The following is an 18,673-nucleotide window of genomic DNA, read 5'->3' as shown; positions in this document are numbered from 1 at the left end:
TTTGCAACAACAAGGACTCAAACAAGGAATGATTTTTGCTTTACCAGAAAATACCATTAATCAGGACATCCTTATAGATGTGGATGTTTTGTCTATAGACCACAGCATACTTAGATGTTTCCAGATAAGTCATATGTTTAGCATTAGGTAGCGTCAAGCTACAAGCTTTCCCAGACACAAGCAAGCAAAAACATACATTTGGTTGGTGCTTCAACATACAAATGACCTGGCTTCTCAGACCTGGGTTTCCGGGGGGTACATATGAACAGAAGTGCCTGGTGAGTCACATGCAGGTCACAGATTGGGGAAGATGTTTGCGGACTTCGTTCTAGTTCAGACAACACCCGCAACCCCGGTGGTGAGGCCCTCAGCCAGTGTGGGTCTTTCTCCCAGTGAGTCTGCATGCTCACCCAAAACTGTCAGATGGATCCCATTGATGTATTTTGGCAGGAGAAGAGCCGCCCCTGAAATCACAGAGGGCCCACAGATGTCACGCTGGCACTTGGCCATGGAATCACAGACTGTGTCTCTCATGGTCAATGGCTGGCCTCATGCAAAACCCTTCAAACCACCTGGCCAGACAGTGGCAGGGCCTGAGCCATGTGGAAAGTGTTGTCAGCTCCTGTCTCCTAATTGAAGGCAGAACACACAGGCCTTCAAGCATTTAGCTGTGCATTTTGACACCATAGTGCCAGCCAGGGAGGGGTCTTTTGGCCCAGATAATTCTAGTGTGGTCAGGAAATGAATGACGTAAGGTGGATTTTGGGCTTCTTTGCCCTTGTCTTCCTCCAGGAAGCTGAGGCTGGGTGAGAGTGGGGACTGCTGTTCTTCAGTGGGAAGAGCATGCCACAGTGGGAAAAACCCAAGGAAGAACCAAGAGGCGGGAGAATGGTGTGAACCTGAGAGGCGGAGCTTGCAGTGACCTGAGATCATGCCACTGCACTCCAGCCTGGGCCACAGAGCGAGACTCCGTCTCCAAAAATAAATAAATAAATAAAAATAAAAATAAAAAAGATGGTGTGGTCAGGAAGTGGGGCTGAGACCCACTGAGAAACTGCCTGGAACTACACTGCAGTTAGAAGCCACATGTGACAACTGCGGACTTGAAACGTGGCAAGTCTGAATTGAGATGTGCTCTCACTCCAAAATGCACATGGTATTTAGAAGATTTTGGAAGGAAAAAAAGAAAGTGAGAAATCTCATTAATAATTTTTGTATTCATTATAGGTTGAAATGGGAATATTTTGGATATATTGGGTTAAATGATTTCATTTGCTATAATGAATGTCATCTGTTTTTTTTTTCTGTTTTTTAATGTGGCTACTAGAACATTGAAAACTACATACATGGCTTGCCTTCTATTTCTACTGGATAACGCTGGCCTAGAGCCTGTTTATCTAAGTGTGATCCCTGGAACAGCAGCAGTAGCACCTGGGAGTTTGTCAAGAATGCAGATTCATGGGCCACTCTCCAGCTCTACTGTAGCAAAGCCTACATTTTTAACAAGATCCCCAGGTGATTCACTTGTACAAAAAAGTTTCAGAAGCTCTGGGCTAGCTCATTCCCTAGGCACTTGGCTTTACTGCTGACAACCAGGTCAGCTTTGAGGGGTGTGGCAGAAAAGACTTTGAAAGAGAAAAGCTTTGGTGTGTGCTGAAAATCGGGGATCTGGGTTCTACTTCTGGCTCTGCCTTGAAATTGCTGTGTGACTTTGGGTAAGCCACTGGCCCCTCTCTGGGGCCAGTTCCCCATCCAGCAAATGAAGAACCTGGACTAGAAGAACTTCAAAGTTCCTGCAGGAGCTTTCTCTTGCACCAGCTGGTAGGACTAAAACCAGCTCCTTTTACCAAGATTTCTAGAAAATCCTAGGGAGGGTTTTGTTTTGTTTTTACTTTGGCTTTTGCATCAGTCCTATTCACATATGGTGGGGAACCAACACATGTGTCCCCATTGTCACTGCCTCCTTTGGATCCCCCAAACTTTATTTTAATTAATTAACATTTTTGAGCACTTATTACGTGTTGATTCTGATTCTAAATGCTTTACATGTATTGTCTCCTGTAACACTCACAATGACCCTAAAAGATAGGGCTCACCATGACTTTTTAATATATGAAGAAATTAAAGCACAGAGAGGCCAAGTAAGTGGTCCAAGATCATACAGTTGGCAATTGGTTAACACTCAGAAACCACCAGACTTTGGCCATGCAGGTATGCCTGATGAGGAGAGGAGTGACCTAAAACTATAAGGTGGTAAACATAAGCATGAATAAAGGAAAATATTAGAATAGATGTAAATGGGCTGGGCGCAGTGACTCACACCTGTAATTCCAGCACTTTGGGAGGCGGAGGTGGGTGGATCACCTAAGGTCAGGAGTTCTAGAGCAGCCTGACCAACATGGTGAAACCCCACCTCTACTAAAAATACAAAATTAGCCGGCCGTGTTGGTGTAATCCCAGCTACTCAGGAGGCTGAGGCAGAAGAATCACTTAAACCCGGGAGGCGGAGGTTGCAGTGAGCCTAGATCACGCCATTGCACTCCAGCCTGGGTAACAGGAGCGAAACTCTGTCTCAAAAAATAAAAAGTAAAATAAAATAGATGTAAATGAATCAAGTCAACACATAAGGCCAAACTCTAGGTTCTTTCTGCAGCATTTGTTTGATTCTCATATGATAGTCAGTATCGTGCATCTGGCAACCATGGCAATCTTTCTATTTCAACTCAGCACCCTCATGATGAAAGTCTCGTGGAAAGACACTCTGTCCATGTGCTACAGTGACACCAAAACCCTGCAAACACATGCTTTGGCAAGGCTGATGCCAGTGAACGGGCAAGCTGATTAGCTGAATTCATCTGCTTGTGAAATAATCTGAAAAGGGTTAATGCTAAAATAAGTCCTTTCCTTTTTTAAGACTCCCCTCCTCTCTTATGAATAAAATTTTCTGTAAAAAGAACTACTTATAAAGTAATCACAGCAATGCCACCAAAATCAGAAACCAAAAGGCAATTTAGCTGGCTGATTATGAATGCAGCCTGGGGAGGACCGTCCTCCTGGCGGACGCCTCTGACCCAACCGGGCTGTTGCCAGCCTTGTGGCCAGCTCTTGGCCCCCAGTGATGTCTTTGCCCTGAGTCCTGTTCCCATGTCCCTACCTTGCAGTCCTCTTCCCCAACTTTTCCTCCCATTCCTGGTTCTAGGCTTCTTGTCTCATCTCTTGTTGATGTCTTTGCACGTATCCCTTGGAGCTGGCAAATTATTTTGGGTTTGGCATGCTGACTCCCTTGAATATAATTTGCACTAGCCCTACAGATTTTCCACCTCTGGCTGCTCCAGGGACTGGCTGAGGCTTGGCTCAGCCTGGCTTTCATAACTCTGTCCCAGCATTGTCACACAGCCTTTGTCTAGAGCAACTTTGCCTTGACCAGGGCAGCCAAGAATGGAATACTGAGAAGGGCCACATTGGGATCCTCCTTCCTTTTAGATTCCCAATGCCTCCAGGAGCTCTTTGTGGAGATGTGCAGAGCTCTCCTTATACTGAGTTACTTTCAGCCAGGGAATGTGCTTACAGCCTTCCTCCTCTACTCTCTGAAAAAATAATCTAGTTTTTCATAGCCAGGATGACCATATGATTTTTTTCATCCAAATTGGGCTCTTTGTGCAGTGAAAGGGGATGCTATTAATAATTGTGCCTGGATAAAAGGCACAACCCGAGACTATCCCAGGCTAACTGCGGCATACCATGCCTATACTCATAGTCCCACTTTCCTTTCAGAGGTAAAGCCTGATACTAACTCTATCCCCACATTATATAATATACTTTGATTACTCCTTTGTTCAGAATCTCTCAGCCTTGCCCACAAAAGCTCTCTTAGTAGGAGAGAGCTGATATATATCCCCCTGAGTGACTGGTGCACAGAGCAAAGGGACCATCCAAAGCTTCCTGATAGCAGAGCTTGTCTTTGAAATTTGAAAAGAGCATATGAATATTATCATTCTACTTAATAATTCTCCTTGTTTTGCTTCAGAAAATATTTTTACTTCTCATATATTTTTTCTTAAAATGTAAAGTAAACTTGATGCCCGGAAAGATGCTTGCTGCAGGTTTTCCCTATGGTTTGTGTACCTCTGTTACCACGGCATAGTCTGAGAATCACAGCTTCTCACTCAGTGGGGTTAGGGGATGAACATTCATGGTGCCCAAGGCATTTGTTGGAATGGATAAGATTACACAGGTCAAGGTTTAGCTCAGACTCTGAGCTTGCCTAAGCATTACACTTTCTCCTTTACAGAGTCTTCTGTTCCTTTATGTACAACAAATATAAGGCCAATAAAACCCTCCAAGAGTTTTCAGGGGCTTCATAATCATGCAATTCAAGGCTGTAATTGGGATTCTTTGCTTCTCATGTAAGAATACTTCAGCTTGATAATGAGCCAACTCTAGGTAGACCTTCCCCAAATTGGGGGTGTGTTTTGGGTTGCCTCCCCTCTTTCATCCCATTCTATGATCTCTGAAGAAACCAGAAGACAGATCCCCTAGCAGGCATGATTGCAGTGCTAGAGTCTGTAGCAACTTCACCTGGATGGAGGATGAGAGTCAGCGCTAGGGCACAGGGGCTCTCTAGATGAATCTCCTACACTTCCCTAAGCATGACCTTCTTTCTCAATGAGACCTGTCCTAACTCAAGAGGTTGAGGCACTCATTTTCTGTGATCCCACACTTGCCAGTCACTCTGGCCTCCCTCCTGCCAACAAAGTTCACACACACACACACACACGCATGCATACACACATGCACATGTACACAGATGTGCACACACACATGTACACACATCCCTTTTCTCTGGAACCTGCAGCCATTTGCCATATCTGAGGGTTTAGTACATCTTGTGTTCATTCCTCCCCTCCTCCACATCCCTCCTGCAGACTTACAATTTCCCTGGAGATGAAAGGATAATTTGAAAATTAACTTCTTATTCCAGCCTTTCTCCATAGCTCCAGGGAATATTCTCAGATAAAAACACACAGGACCTGGGAGATAATGATTAGGAGGGGACCTAATAGGATGCTGGTAATGTTCTATGTCTTGACCTGGATGGTGGTTACACAGGTGTGTTCACTTTGAGATAATTCATGTATAATATTTGCTTTTTTCTGAATGCATGTAATATTTCAATGAAAATTTAAATGTAAAAACAAGCACAGAACCAGGTTATGGCTGAGAGGGAAGGCTGTAACCTGGAGATTGACTATCTGGATAAGAAATATTTCTAGCTCTTTTCTGGCTCTCAAGTGTCAATGCAGCCAAGAGCTGCTGTATGGCTCCCAGGGCTACCAGTGTTTCGGAGATGCTGGGCTGACAGCCTGCGCTGTCTCCCTGTTCCAGGGAGAATGCTGTATTGAGAACATAATAATTTTAGATCTCATACTGACCTTCTGAGCCTCTGGGCAGTTTCATGTTCCTAGAATAACAGAGTCAGCAGGTCCTCGGAGGGGAGGCAAAGTGGTTAAGAGCTCAATGTGTTGAAACCCTACCTCTGCCACTTTCTAGTCATGTGACCTTGGGAAAGTTATATAAACTTTCTAATCTGCAGTTTCCTCATCTGTAAAATGGGGCTAATAATAGTGCCCGCCTCATATGGTTACTGTGGGAATTACCTGTACTGCATATGAAGGGTTTAGCCCTGGGCCTGGCAAAAACTAAGAAGTATCCATTAAAGACTAAATGTTATAATTGAGTCCAACCCCCATACTTTATGTGAGGAAACTAAGACCCAGATAGAGAAGGGAGTATCTTATTGAAGGTCAGAGCCAGGATATAACAGTGATAATCCGGGCCTCCTCGAGTCTAGGACTGTGGAGCTCTCTCCATGATAACATGCTGCTTTTTCCCACACTGGGGGTCCTCCCCACCTGGGCAGGCCCATGCAGCCATGCTTTATTCATCCAAGCACCAGACAATGTGAACTTATTTTGCTCACAACCCCTTTAAGTGAGAGGAGACTGTGATGAATGCAGTGTCATTCATCTGATAAGGTGAATCCCCAGGTTGAGGAGAAATGAACAGGCAACCCCTATGACCTGGAGTACCTCCCTGTGAGCCACCCTGAGACCACACAATGGGCGGATTGAGGGAAACATGAGACTCTTGTTTAGTAAACACAGAGTACCTGCTTTGTGGTCAGGCCCAGTGTTGGGGACAACTGGGAAATAAGAAGGATCCCACCTTCCTGGAGCTCCCAGTCTGGGAGGGGGAGGGATGGAGAAGGTTGATTCTGAGAGACAGGTTACTCAAAGGAAAAGCAAGGGAACATATCACAGGGGACCCAACTATCTGTGGTATGAAGCAAGTGACATGGTCGTGGAGGCAGCGATGTCACCATAGGGACTAGAAGGCTGAGTAGGAGCCACCTAAATGAAGTGAAGGGGGCAGAGAGGAGCCAAGGAGGAGGCCCTGGGGTGGGTTAGGACATGAACATGGGGACCTGGAGAATAGGCTTGTACTAGGGAGCTGGGGGAGCAGTGTGAGAAGAGGTGAGTGTGAGCATGCAAGATCTCCTGAGCATGCTGAGAATTCTGGACTTTATGAGATGTGAGAAGCCTCTGGAGAGTTTTAAGTTGGAAAGTCACATGATGAGATTTGCCTTTTAGAAAATACCTGAGCCCTGAGAGTCAGTCTAAGTCCAAAAGCACCTCTTGGTGCAGAGCGTGGGAGGCTCCTGAAACCTCACACCATTCCCAGGACCAGAGCAACAGGGGCCCTCTGAGACTGGTGCACCTTCATTTATCAGAAAGATAAATGGAAGATTAGAGAGGGAGGGAGGTTTACCCAATATCACTCATCAACTTAAAAAGAGTCAGAGCTAGATCCAGTTTCCAAGTCTTCAGCTGCAATTCCTGTTGCACTTGCAATCATCATACGGCTGTTTCACTAGTTTGTGTGAAAATCTTTCAACCCCAAATAAACTGATACTCTTAATGAGCACTAAATTCATCTTTGCAGAATGAAGGAATTTAAGTGCATGGGAACCCTGGATCTGTTACCCTTCCTCCTCTTCCTTAACATTATCTTGGAGCCCGCAGAGCTTGACTCCTCAGCCCGGCCATACCTGCAGGCCTGCTCAAGTAGATATTGGGAAGGGGGTGTGGTCACAGGGCCTGATTCTAGTAAGGGCTGCTTGAAACCTGCTTTCCCCACCCCTACTGCTGGGGTCTGGAAGTCTTCGAGGCTTCTTCTTCAACTGCTCCCCACTGATGGATGATATCATGGGCATTTTGAAATGAGAGGAAAACTCCCATTTGGCTGGAAATTAAGGTGATTTAAAAGCAGATGGCAGAGCTTCTGAACTGAGAGGGCAGGACAAACCACCCAAACATGCCTAGCTAAGCAGTCTGTGGGGCCTTCTGAGGGAAGGTCTGGGATTCGCTGGAGGCTGGCCCAGGGTGGGATCATGGTAGGGCCTCCTCTGAGGGTCAGGACTGATGTCAGCATTTGGGTCTTGCTCTCATCCTGCCCCAAACCCATATTAACTACAGCTAGAATGAGGGAAGGATTTCCAGGTCCTAGCCCTGCCTGACCATGTGCTTTTATGGAGTGAGGGACTTGGATGGGAAATCAGCACTCACTGAGCACCTACAATGTGCCAGGCACTGTACTGAGAGGCCATGGGTTATAATGACCCAACTTTGGGCAATGTGCCAACCAAGGGCTCTTGAGCCCATAGGGATGTGAGCACTCTTGAAGGATGGGTGAGAAGAACTCTACCCTTGAAGAGAATGGGTATTCCCATAGTCAATCATCCCGGAAGGGCTGGAAATATGATGAGACTCAGGACTGGATGAGGGAGAAATATATTCCTCACTCTGGTGTCTGTGGGGTTGGCACTGGGCTTGCAGTGTGGGGGGGCCTTGAGTGATCTGGAAGTGGGTGAGTGCCCTTGGCCGTGCCCTTGGAGAGGAGCTTGGCCTCCACTATTTACCATGGTGGAGGCAGTAGCAGCTCAAAAAGCACCAAGTTTGGTGATAATCAGCATTTAGGTAGTGCTTGGGTGCTCCAGACTAAGGGGTATATCTGAGCAGCTGCCCCTCTTCTGAGAGTTGTGGGCCACCAAGAATGACCTTTAGATCAAATCAAGAGCTTCACCTTCATCACTGGGGTCTCAGAGACAGCCCCCAGTGGTGACAACTGTGCCAGCAGGGCAGATACCTCCTGCTGGGCATTGACACATGAGTCAATACCCTGGGAAAGCTCCCAGAAATGATGGGAGGACATTGTGACAAGGGCTGAAGTCCAGCATGTAGACCTAGGATATAACAGTTGGCATGAAAAGGAAGTATAATTCTATTTAAATTGAGTTCAGGAACAGACATTTTATATATTACCTCATTTTTTCCAACACAATACCCTTTGAAGAAAATGGAGCTAATTATCCCCACTTCACAGATGAAGAAACTAATTTTCAGAGAAGCTCTATCAGTGATTTCCAGTTTTTGGATTTCGCAATCAAGTTAAAACAATTGGGGGAGTGTACATGGATTGTTCACCTCAATTATCTTAGTAAGGAAATTTTAAAAATTAAAAAATGCTACATCTAAACTTATCGTCCCATTTTGGCAAAAGAAAAGATATTTTAATGCAAACAATTGTGGCAGACAATTTAATCAGAATAAAGGTCATTTTTTAAAACTTAATAAAATTATATTGTTGAAGATACAATTTAATATCCTGAGTTTTCTCCCTCCTCTGGGCGTTGGTGAAATGTGGCCTTGTCCTTGTGCTGGTTTGTGGAGTAAAGTTTGCAACCCCAGGGGCTGAATGACTTGCTCATGTCCTGGTCACTCAGCCAGAAAGGGGCAGAGCCAACTCACACAGACCCGACTGGAAGCCCAGCCTTTCTGGATGCCCTGCACAGCTCTGCTCTACTGAGGCAGGCAGTGGGGACCACAGTGCTATCCAAATCCTTGCCAAGGTGCTCCAAGAGAACATCCAGGCCTTGCCTGACTCTTCTCCCCACAGGCCTCTTGGATGGGCCCAGTCAGCTGGCTGAGAACTCTACCAGTAATGCCAGCATAGGGGATTTGGCTGAGCTCAGTACAATATGTTTTTATCTGTACCAAATTATGACCCATAAAAATTCAGTCCTTGCTAGGACACAAGCAGCTAAAAAAGAAGGTGACCCAACTCAACCTTTTCTCTTTTAAGAAAACACATCACTGACCCCGCCTTCCTAAGCTGCTGCCATGAGGCTTTCTGTTACACCCCGCAACCCCTGACATTCCGTTTAGAGGAAATGAAAAACTACTCTCTCTCCTTGGCCCTCCCCATTCAAACAGGCTTACATGTGTCCCAGAAGAAGGCCACTGATGACTTCCCAAACTCCCGGCTACTCTTCCTTCCTCAGAGAAACACAAAATATTAGCACTACAAGGAAATTTAAGGATCATTTAATACAAATACCCCCATTTTATCTATATGAACCAAAGCAGTCACTGAAACCCAGATCTTCTAACTTCTAGCCAGAACCAGGGTGGCACAGTTGACAATCCACAGATTAACAAAGGTTTGAATCTAGTCCTCCCTCATCCTAGTTCTGCAACCTTGGAAAATGCTTCACTTCTCTGAACCTCACTGTTTTCATCTGAAAAATGGGCAAAATGAATATGATATGTTTTGGATGTTTGTCCTCTCCAAATCTCATATTGGAATGAGTGTTGGAGATGGGGCCTGGTGGGAGGTGTTTGGTCATGGGGGCAGATCCCTCATGAACGGCTTAGCGTCATACTCCTGATAGTGTGTTCTCACTCAGTTCATGCAAGATCTGCTTATTTAAAAGAGTGTGTGGCATCTCTGCCCTCTCTGTCATGCTCCCTCTCTCACATGTAATATGTAGCCCCCCATCCCTTCTGCTATCATTGTAAGCTTCCTGAGGCCCTCGCCAAAAGCAGATGCTGGTGCCATGCTTGTATAGCCTTCAGAATCATGAGCCAATTAAACCTCTTTTCTTTATGAATTACCCAGCCTCAGGTATTTCTTTATAGCGACACAAATGGACTGACACAATACCAGCCTCCCAGGTCCTCGCAGAGGTTAATGGGGCTATGTATATAAAGCACTTCACAATGTGCTTGGCACATTGACCGCAGTGCTCATTTCCACAGTACACATTTCCTTTCTGGGCAGTTTACGAACTTCTCTAAGGCTCAGTGTCCTCATCTGTTAAGTAGGATAACAATTGGATTATGAGATAAGGCATGTGTGTAAAAAGTTTAGCACAGTTCTTAGCACATACCAAGCATGTGGAAGCAATTATTATTAGCATGGTATTATCACCAGCCCCTTCTTTCTTTCTTTCTTTCCTCCCTCTCCAGATTCCCACTCCTCAATCTACATAAGTCAACAGAGCAATGTGTAGGGTGTACCATGGGGTGAGTATGTTGTATGTGGGTAAGGTGCTGTCTAGGGGAGTGAGTCCAGGTGCTGTGCCTGATGCTCTGGTGGTAGTGGGCAGCCCTGGAACCCTGCAGAGTGAAGTCCACTCTGTGGCTTGCTCTCTCTCAGCTGCTTGATCAGATCATGTGACTAACACAAGCTATCTTGATATTGTGGACATCTATCTATTCCCTGCTAGATGTATTTTCTCAGGTGGAGGTGTCCTAATTTCTATATGAAACCACCACGCAGCCTCCTGAGGCTGCCAGACACCTGACACGTACATCCCACAGGAATTCCATTCAGATGTGTCCACAGGTCTCAGTGGATTCCCACAGTGGCTTCCTAGCTACCTGGTCTGGAGGACATGCTTACTATGCATTGGTGAGAGTTTCTGGACACTGAATACATGTTCTGTATAGAGAGATTTCCTGTACTCCAATCCCAGACTTGCCAAAGGCTGGCCAGATCCTCCCAGAACTGCAGGCTATTGGTGTGGAGGACCAAGGGCTCATCCCAAGGGGCAAACCTATTGCTAAATCCCATCAGACTGGTCACCTCTTTAGAGGGACTTAGGCAGACCAGTGGGCCATTAATGCCAAATAATTAAATCGATAGGCTTCTAGAAGATAAACCTGATCTCAACTCAGCTAGCCATTTCACACAGAGTGGTGCAATTACCCCCAAATTGCAGAGAGACCTGGGTTCAAACGCTAACTCTATCACTAACTGACTTTGGGTGTTTCCTCACCATTCAAAACTTCAACTTCCCTATATATAAAATAAGGACAAGCAAATCTATCTTTTATAACTGCGGTGAAATTAAATTGAAAATTGATGATACTTCAATGCCTGGCACATTGTCATTATTTGATAATGATCCAGTTAGGACAAAACATATGAAGAAGGACTGCCAGGTCAGGGGACGTCCCTGAGAGAATCTCACTGCCAGGCATGACCTTGTCCCCAGAAGCTAGATCATTTCAGTTCAACCCCTGGCTCTGTCTCTCATTAGTAAGTTAGTTAAATTCTGCACCTCAGTTTCTGTCTCTATCTGTAAGTGGGGATAATGATAATACCTACCCCAAAGGGGTTTGTGATGATTAAATTAATTACTTAATGTAAAATGCTTAGAACAGTGCCTGGCACCCGCTAAGTGCTGCAAAAATGTTGGCTATTCATAATAGAACTAAGTGATTCATCAGTAGTCTGAAATAAATTCCTAAAGCATGGGCTTTGGAAGCCCTTGATTGTTTGGCTTTACTGAAATGACAGGTGCAAAGAAGGCATGAGACCCCTACCGTTCTCTCACGTGAGCTCATTCCTGAGCAGAAGAGCCGTGTTTTATAATAATTACCACTTCTGGAATGCTTGCCATATGCCAGTTCCTTTATAAATTTTAGCTCTCATTCTCACAGGAACCCTCTTATATAGGCATTATTATCCCCATTTTGCAGATAAGGAAACTAAGGTTCAGATAGGTGAAGTGATTTTCCCAAAGGGGCACAGCAGGTAGGGGTAGAGGCAGGATTCAAATGCAGGTCTGTCTGGCTCCATAGCCACAGCCTCCTTGCTTCCCTAAGCAGAATGGGGTTCCGCATCCCTCCTGTGTGTGCGGGTGAGGGGTGTGTCCTACAGTTCCCCAGCACTCATTCAGCCCTACTGGCCTGGCTGGGTGGTTGATATTTAAAAACTGGAGAGGAGGGGAAAAAAACCCTTAAAAACAATAAACAGTGATTCAGACTGAGTCTTTACTCAGGCGGTTACGGGAAACTGGCGGGAGGCGACAGCCTTAGTCACTTAGGAATGGCCGAGCCCCTGACTCATGGGCAGCAGATCACGCTGCTCAGGACAGAAGCCAGCACTGCATTCGGTGCCAAAAAGGCAGGAAAACGCTCTAAAGAGGGGGGTGGGGGATGAAAAGAATGATGTGCTGGGGCCAGAGCTATCTTTTGTGAGGAGGCAGGCTTGTCCTGGGTGCTGGAATAACATCCAAACCCCCAAGCCTGATGTTCCAGCCCCCTTTCTGGAGCCCTCCTCTTTTCCAATCTGATTTCTCTCTATTCTCATTCAAGAACCCCACCCTCCAGCCAAATGGGATGGCCCACTGTGCCCAGGATGTCCTGTCTTTGCCCCTCACTCCAGGTGCCTTGGCCCCCAACCCTCCTGGCCTCTCTTGTGCCCAATAGGTAGGGCTCCCCTCCAGGGGCCCTTCCTCTTGCCTTCAGCACTAAATTCAGCCCCTCATTCCTCAGGTATTTAAGGAGCACACATTATGTGTTAAGTTCTATGTTAGATACTGGAAATCCAAAGATAGCTTAGACACAGTCCCTGCCCTCAGGAAGCTCATACCTAGTGTTTGTTTCAGTACCAGGTACAGGAGTACACAGGTCACAACAAGAACCGCCAAAAAGGAAGGGCTGTGATGTGGGGAGCACAGAACACAGCCGGGGTGTCCCAAACCACCCTAGGAACCAGGGTTCCCTAAAGGACGTGATGTTTGAGATGAATCTTGAAGAGTAGGAATGAGTCAAGAGATGGTGGGGTAGAGAGGGGAAGGATATAGAATCATCTCTCTCTTCTAAACAAAAACAGAAACAAAAGCTGAGGCAGGTACTGTGAGTTTATTGTACCAAAGGGGAAGGAAATGAAGAAAAAACAGAGGGGCAAAATAATAGCCCCCAAATCTTTTTGTGTTTTTTTGAGACAGAGTCTCGTTCTGTTGCCCAGGCTGGAGTGCAGTGGCACAATCTCGGTTCACTGCAACCTCCGTCTCCCAGGTTCAAGTGATTCTCCTGCCTCAGCCTCCAGAGTAGCTGAGACTACAGGCATGTGCCACCACGTCCAGATAAATTTTGTATTTTTAGTAGAGATAGGGTTTCACCATATTGGCCAGGCTGCTCTCGAACTCCTGACGTCAGGTGATCCACCCGCCTCAGCCTCCCAAAGTGTTTGGATTACAGGCGTGAGCCGCTGCACCCAGCCAGCCTCAAAATCTTGTTAAAATTTTGGACTAATTCCTCTCAGCCTTTTCTCCATATAGCTCTATGTGTGGAGACATATACATTTTTAAAAACCCAAAACATGTTAATCTGACCGCTTTGTAATTTGCTTTTCACATTTAACAACATAGGAAATCTTTCTATGTTGATAAATATTAGTCAACATAACAGATGCCACAGCTGATCTGGCCTGAGAGAGGTCGGTTTAGCTCGTGGAGGTGGTGGGAAATTCTGAATTTGAACACCTAGCACTGGGGAATGTACTCATCCATTCTCCACAGGCCCCACCTCTCCTCGCTGTCTTACACAAATAAGATCTGCTTCTCTGTTCACATCAGCTGCCTGGCCAATCCGGGCATTAGCATTTTGAGCCCCTGATGCTCAACATTTGAATGGCTATGTGGTATCTCGGAAGATGATGCCCCTTGATTCACCTGGCATTTTCCCCATGCTTCTCTTTCGACACTGCCAATTTCTACCCTAGATAGCAATTGATCACACAGCTGCTGCCTTCCCATCTGCGGGCTCCTCAGACGCGGGTTCTATATGTGATGTTTCTTGCTCTCCCATCACAGAGCCTAGCACAGCTCTACTGTGACTTGCGCACAACAGGCAGTCACTAAACAGTTGATGAAAAGAGAAAGGAGGAAAGTTACAGGGTTAAGCTCTTGACCCCTCCCAGTGCAGGTGAGACACCCATTTCATCCAGATCCTGCAGCGAGATGACAGGCATGGGCTCCGGAGTAAGCATGCCTGGACTCCTATTCTGGTCCCACCACTGACTAGGCTAGGCAAGTTATTTAATCTTTCTACGTTTCATTTCTCATGTACAAAACGAGAATACTAATTGTACCCATTGTGCTAGGCTGTTGTGAAGGTTCAATCCTACAAAAAAGGAGCTTAGAACAGAACCTGGCACACAATCACAAAAGTTAGCAATTGGTTTTCTTCTTATCATCCTTATTATCTTGGGCGCTCTCCAAGTGCAAGTTGGGACTCAACTCCCCTCTGAAGGAGGCTTTCTTCTTGGTCAGCATCCCCTCGCTCCTATTCCTGCGGCGCAGCCTCTCCCTCTGGAGAGGGGTCTCTGGCCAGTCCCCAACCTGACAATAGGGATGGATTCTCTTCTCCTCAAAGGAGAAGGATACTGGGATTGTGGCCAGCAGTTTCCAGGCGTTTGGAAAAACCTCAGTGGGTTAGACCAGGGGTTGGCAAACTTTTTCTATAAAAGGCCAGATAGTAAATATTTTAGGCTTTGCAGGCCATATGGTCTTTGTTGCAACCACTCAATCTTGCCCTTGTAGCATGAAGGCAGTCATGGACAATACAGAAACGAATGGTCATGACTGTGTTCCAATAAAACCGTATTTACAAAAACGTGGCCAGCTGATTTGGCCTGGGGGCCATAGTTTGCTGGCCTCTGTAGATCAATCACAAAATCACTCAGTCAGGGCTGTGAGTCTTCTCTGCTTCTCTGTAACCCTGAAAATGCTCCTTTCCTTCCCTGAACCTAATTTTTGTCATTTATCAATTGAGGAGTTTGGGACAGATAATTTTTAGGAGTCATTCTGTCTTGAAAATGCAATAAGTCTATGACTGACAAGCTGTGTGACTTTGGGCAAGGCCCGACCCTCTCTGGGCCTCAGTCTCCTCCTCTGTAAAATGAGGGGATGCATTGATTATCAAGCCCTGATCACAAGCCGAGTAGGACACACTGGGCTTGGGAGGCACCCAGACCATGGCCAGGTGCTGCCTTTGCCCACCTCACTGCCTTTCTTCCCGCAGCCAGGGACCTCTGCAAGCTGTCACCCTGGGCTCGGCCAAAATTCAGTCATGCTTCGTGATGCAGTCAAGTTGCTCTTGCCCAAATGGCTTGCCTGGAAATCACTCTGCAGCCAGACTGCAGCAATCCAGGTTGGATTACGCCAGGCATATGGGGAGACTCTTTGTGCAGGGTGCCAAGTGGCAGTACAGGCTGGGGTTAGTATCACCATGGTCTGGACCCGACTGCAGCTTGCCCCAGAGGCCTGTAGGGACAAGGAGTTCTCCACTTCACAAGGCCAAGTTGATAGCCTTTTTCTGTGGCTGGCAGTCTTGATTCTTTCCTTGAGAGGCCGTGCCTTCACTCTTGGTGTGGTTAACAGGCGCCCACAAACTCACACATGCACACACAATCACATGGTACTCTTGTGACTGTCACATCCTAGGAAATGTCTTAACGATCTAAGGAGAGTCAGGAAGCTCTCCAGACCCAACCAAATGCTACTTTTATCCCCGTAAAAAGAGAGGGCCAGCTGCTCTGGCCTGACCCACAATAAGGCAACCCTTAGAAGATGAATTGAGTCGCCAGTGGGAAACCACAGCATCCTCGTGGCCTAACCCAGGCCTGGGACAGCCTGGTTCTCTGAGAGCCAAAGTGCCAACAGCAATGACACCACCAGCACACTGGGCAATTCTACCCAGCAGATGCCTCCACCCCATAGAGTGCATGACGTCCACATCTTCCCTGGGGTATCGGAATAACAAAGGCTGTGTCCCAGCACTATTGTACAGCTAGGGAAGGCCGGAAACCAAGCTACAGGAAACTGGTTGCTATGGTTTCCTTGAGCGTAATGCCACAGAAATTGCTTTCTAAAAATTTTTTTTTTTTCAGGGAGAGGTAAGGAGGGAAACACTGACTTCAATATTTACCATGCACCAAGCATTGTGCTAGGTTGTAAATACTCAAAGTGAATCACTAGGATTGGTAGTATTATCTTCATTTTGCAAATGAGAATATGGAAGCACAGAGGAACTAAGACTCTTGCTCACAGACACACAGCTGGAAGGTGGGAGAGCCAGTTATGAACCCAAGATCTCCACACTGCAGTGCATGCTCCTTTTCAAATATATGTGGTGGGAGCCAAGAGATCTTGCAACCTAAAATATTCTTATTATGAGGCCAGACTGGAGCAGGGAGGGGGATCGAGGAGGAAGGGACAGGGAAGAAGCTAAATGAGAGAAATCAAACAGCTGAGGAATGAAGACTGATGCCTTCTGATGTGCCAGAACAAGGCTCTCAGGGTGGGTAGAAGGGGCACAGGACTTGGCACCAAAGGGCCTTAGTGTGAAGGTCACCTTCCTCACTCCCAGCCAGAGCCTCCCACATCTGTAAAATGGGTATAACAATCATATCTGCCCTTAGGGTTGTTGTAAGGATTAATTGAAATAATATACATCAAATGCATGGTACAGAGTAAGCACTCAGAAAATGTTAACATTCTTGCGATTGATATTATTATTAATTATACTGTTGTGAAAACTCGTGAATTACCAATTGCTGTACAAATATCAATTAGTTTCGAGGGGACTTGAGCAACTCTGAGGCTAACTCAGTTGAGGGAGTAGAGCTAAAACACATTTGGGCCCCGGGACTGGCCATGCAGGTTGGTACACTCCACAGCTCACACACTGTACAAAGCAGCCCTGATTTATTGGCGCATAGAAGGAAGCTTCCTACCACACATTTCTCAGTCAGTGATGCAAGCATTCATTCCACAGGTATTTATTGAACACCTATTTGCTATGTCCTGTGCCAGGAGGCATATGACATGCTCCCTGCTCTCCAGGAGCTCACAGACAGTGAAGGAGACAGAAAAGCAACTACAGACTGATGCCTCATATAGTTGGACACAGGCAGTGGGTGTCTACTCTTTACAGGGAGTGTATGCATGCGTGTGTGAGCATGCGTGTATGTGTCCTGGTGGGCAGGAAAGGCTTCTCTGAGAAGGGAGCCCTTAAGTTAAGCCTTAAAAAATAACTGGGAGTTTATCAAATAAGTGAGGGAGGGCAGACTGGGAAAAAGGAATAATACCTACAAAGACTCCAGGGCATTTTTGAAACATATGATTAAAGTTTAAGTGTACATCCATGGCGTAGAGTCAGGGAGAGCTAGAGAGGTGAGTTGAATGAGAGATGGAATGGAAATAAAGGTTGGGACCAAGTTGAACAGGGCCTTTTTTACCATGCTAAGGATCCTGGAGGTTTCTCTCTGCTGAGGCAAGAGGAGGAAGCTGCGGTGTGCATGAAGGATGTGGCCATGAGGTCTCTGGAGGTCCTGAGGGGGACGGATTAGAAGCACTCAGGCTCTTGATCTCTGCTAGGCACCTTACTGAGCTCTTTGCATGGATTTCCTACTTTGATTCTCACCCAAACTCCATAAAGTGGTGCAACTATTTCCCCATTTTGCAGAGGAGGAAACCAAGGCTTAGCTAAATTCTGTGTTAGATTTGAACCCAGGGAGGTGGCCCTTTGCCCTCCTAATAGCTACTGCCTCTTACTGTGGACAGGGAGTACATTTCAGAGGTCAAACAAGAGGCCAGGAAAGAAGTTATGAAGTCTGAAGGAGGGAAGTATCTTGTGGGTGGAGGCTGAGGTGGAAAACCTTATGTTCCAGGCAGAGAAGTGCCCAGGAAGCCTGAGGCTCAGGAAAACCTGCTCTCTAGGTGATCTCACTCACAGAAACTTGAAGCTGTTAACACATAGCCATTGAGATTCCTTTCTGGGTTTGCCCCCACCTTTTGTTTGAAGGAGGTAAGCCTGGCCCGTGACAACACTTGAGAACAAACTGCTCACTGCAAAACTGGGAGAAGAAAGCAGAGGCATATACCCTTTTTTCCCTTGGGGAATTTGACCTTTGGGGCTCGTTGCTTATAACCTTCCATTGAAAAAAAATTGCTACTTGGGAGCTGCAGTCATTCCTGCCTGTCAAGAGTGGCCCTCTGGCCCAAAGGCTGGCACCCAGAAGGACTTGCTCTCCTTTTGAGAGCGCGCCCTCCCGTCCCTCTTGTGTAAATAAGTACCCTGGAGTGGAAATAAAATAATAATTGGGGCACAGTTATTCTCAGGCCAGTCTCGGGAAGTTTCCAGGCAGCTCAGGGAGACGGCGGCTTCAAGAGTTCCTGATGCAGAGGTAACAGAGAAGGTGAGTTGGGGCCAGCAGGAGAGAGCGCAGAGGAATAGCCTGATGCTTAGCCAAAAGCTCCTTCCACAACCCAGGCCAGAGGCACTTGGCTGCACAGCCCAGGACTGACGACGGCCCACGCTGCTTTCCAAGCGCCCCTGAGTTGCTGTTACTTAATTAGCTCCATGGCCATAAAAGGCTGGCTCAGCTTGGAGGAGGCGCCTGGCCCCAAGAAGCAGCACACTGAAGTGTCATAAAAACACAGCATGGAGAAGGGGCAGGAAAAGGAAGGGCAGGTGGG

The 18,673-nt window shown here is 46.6% G+C and overlaps 1 protein-coding gene across 11 annotated transcripts in view, besides 1 other annotated feature; it reads right to left on the bottom strand.

Annotated features, from left to right (window-relative positions):
- NAV2 (neuron navigator 2) overlaps window positions 1-18,673 on the bottom strand; it is a 776,366-nt gene that overhangs the window by 429,040 nt on the left and 328,653 nt on the right. The window lies entirely within an intron of this gene.
- Window positions 14,424-14,593: an enhancer, noted in NCBI's record as "experimental_19830 CRE fragment used in MPRA reporter constructs". NCBI's record gives its function as "activates a minimal promoter by MPRAs in K562 erythroleukemia cells, with activity observed for the introgressed 11:19699600 variant allele {active_cell/tissue: K562}" and the evidence as "EXISTENCE:reporter gene assay evidence [ECO:0000049][PMID:34662402]".

The sequence above is a fragment of the Homo sapiens genome, chromosome 11, assembly GCF_000001405.40.
Source record: "Homo sapiens chromosome 11, GRCh38.p14 Primary Assembly".
Taxonomy (NCBI): Eukaryota; Metazoa; Chordata; class Mammalia; order Primates; family Hominidae; genus Homo; species Homo sapiens.
This window is presented reverse-complemented; position numbering and strand designations above follow the sequence as displayed.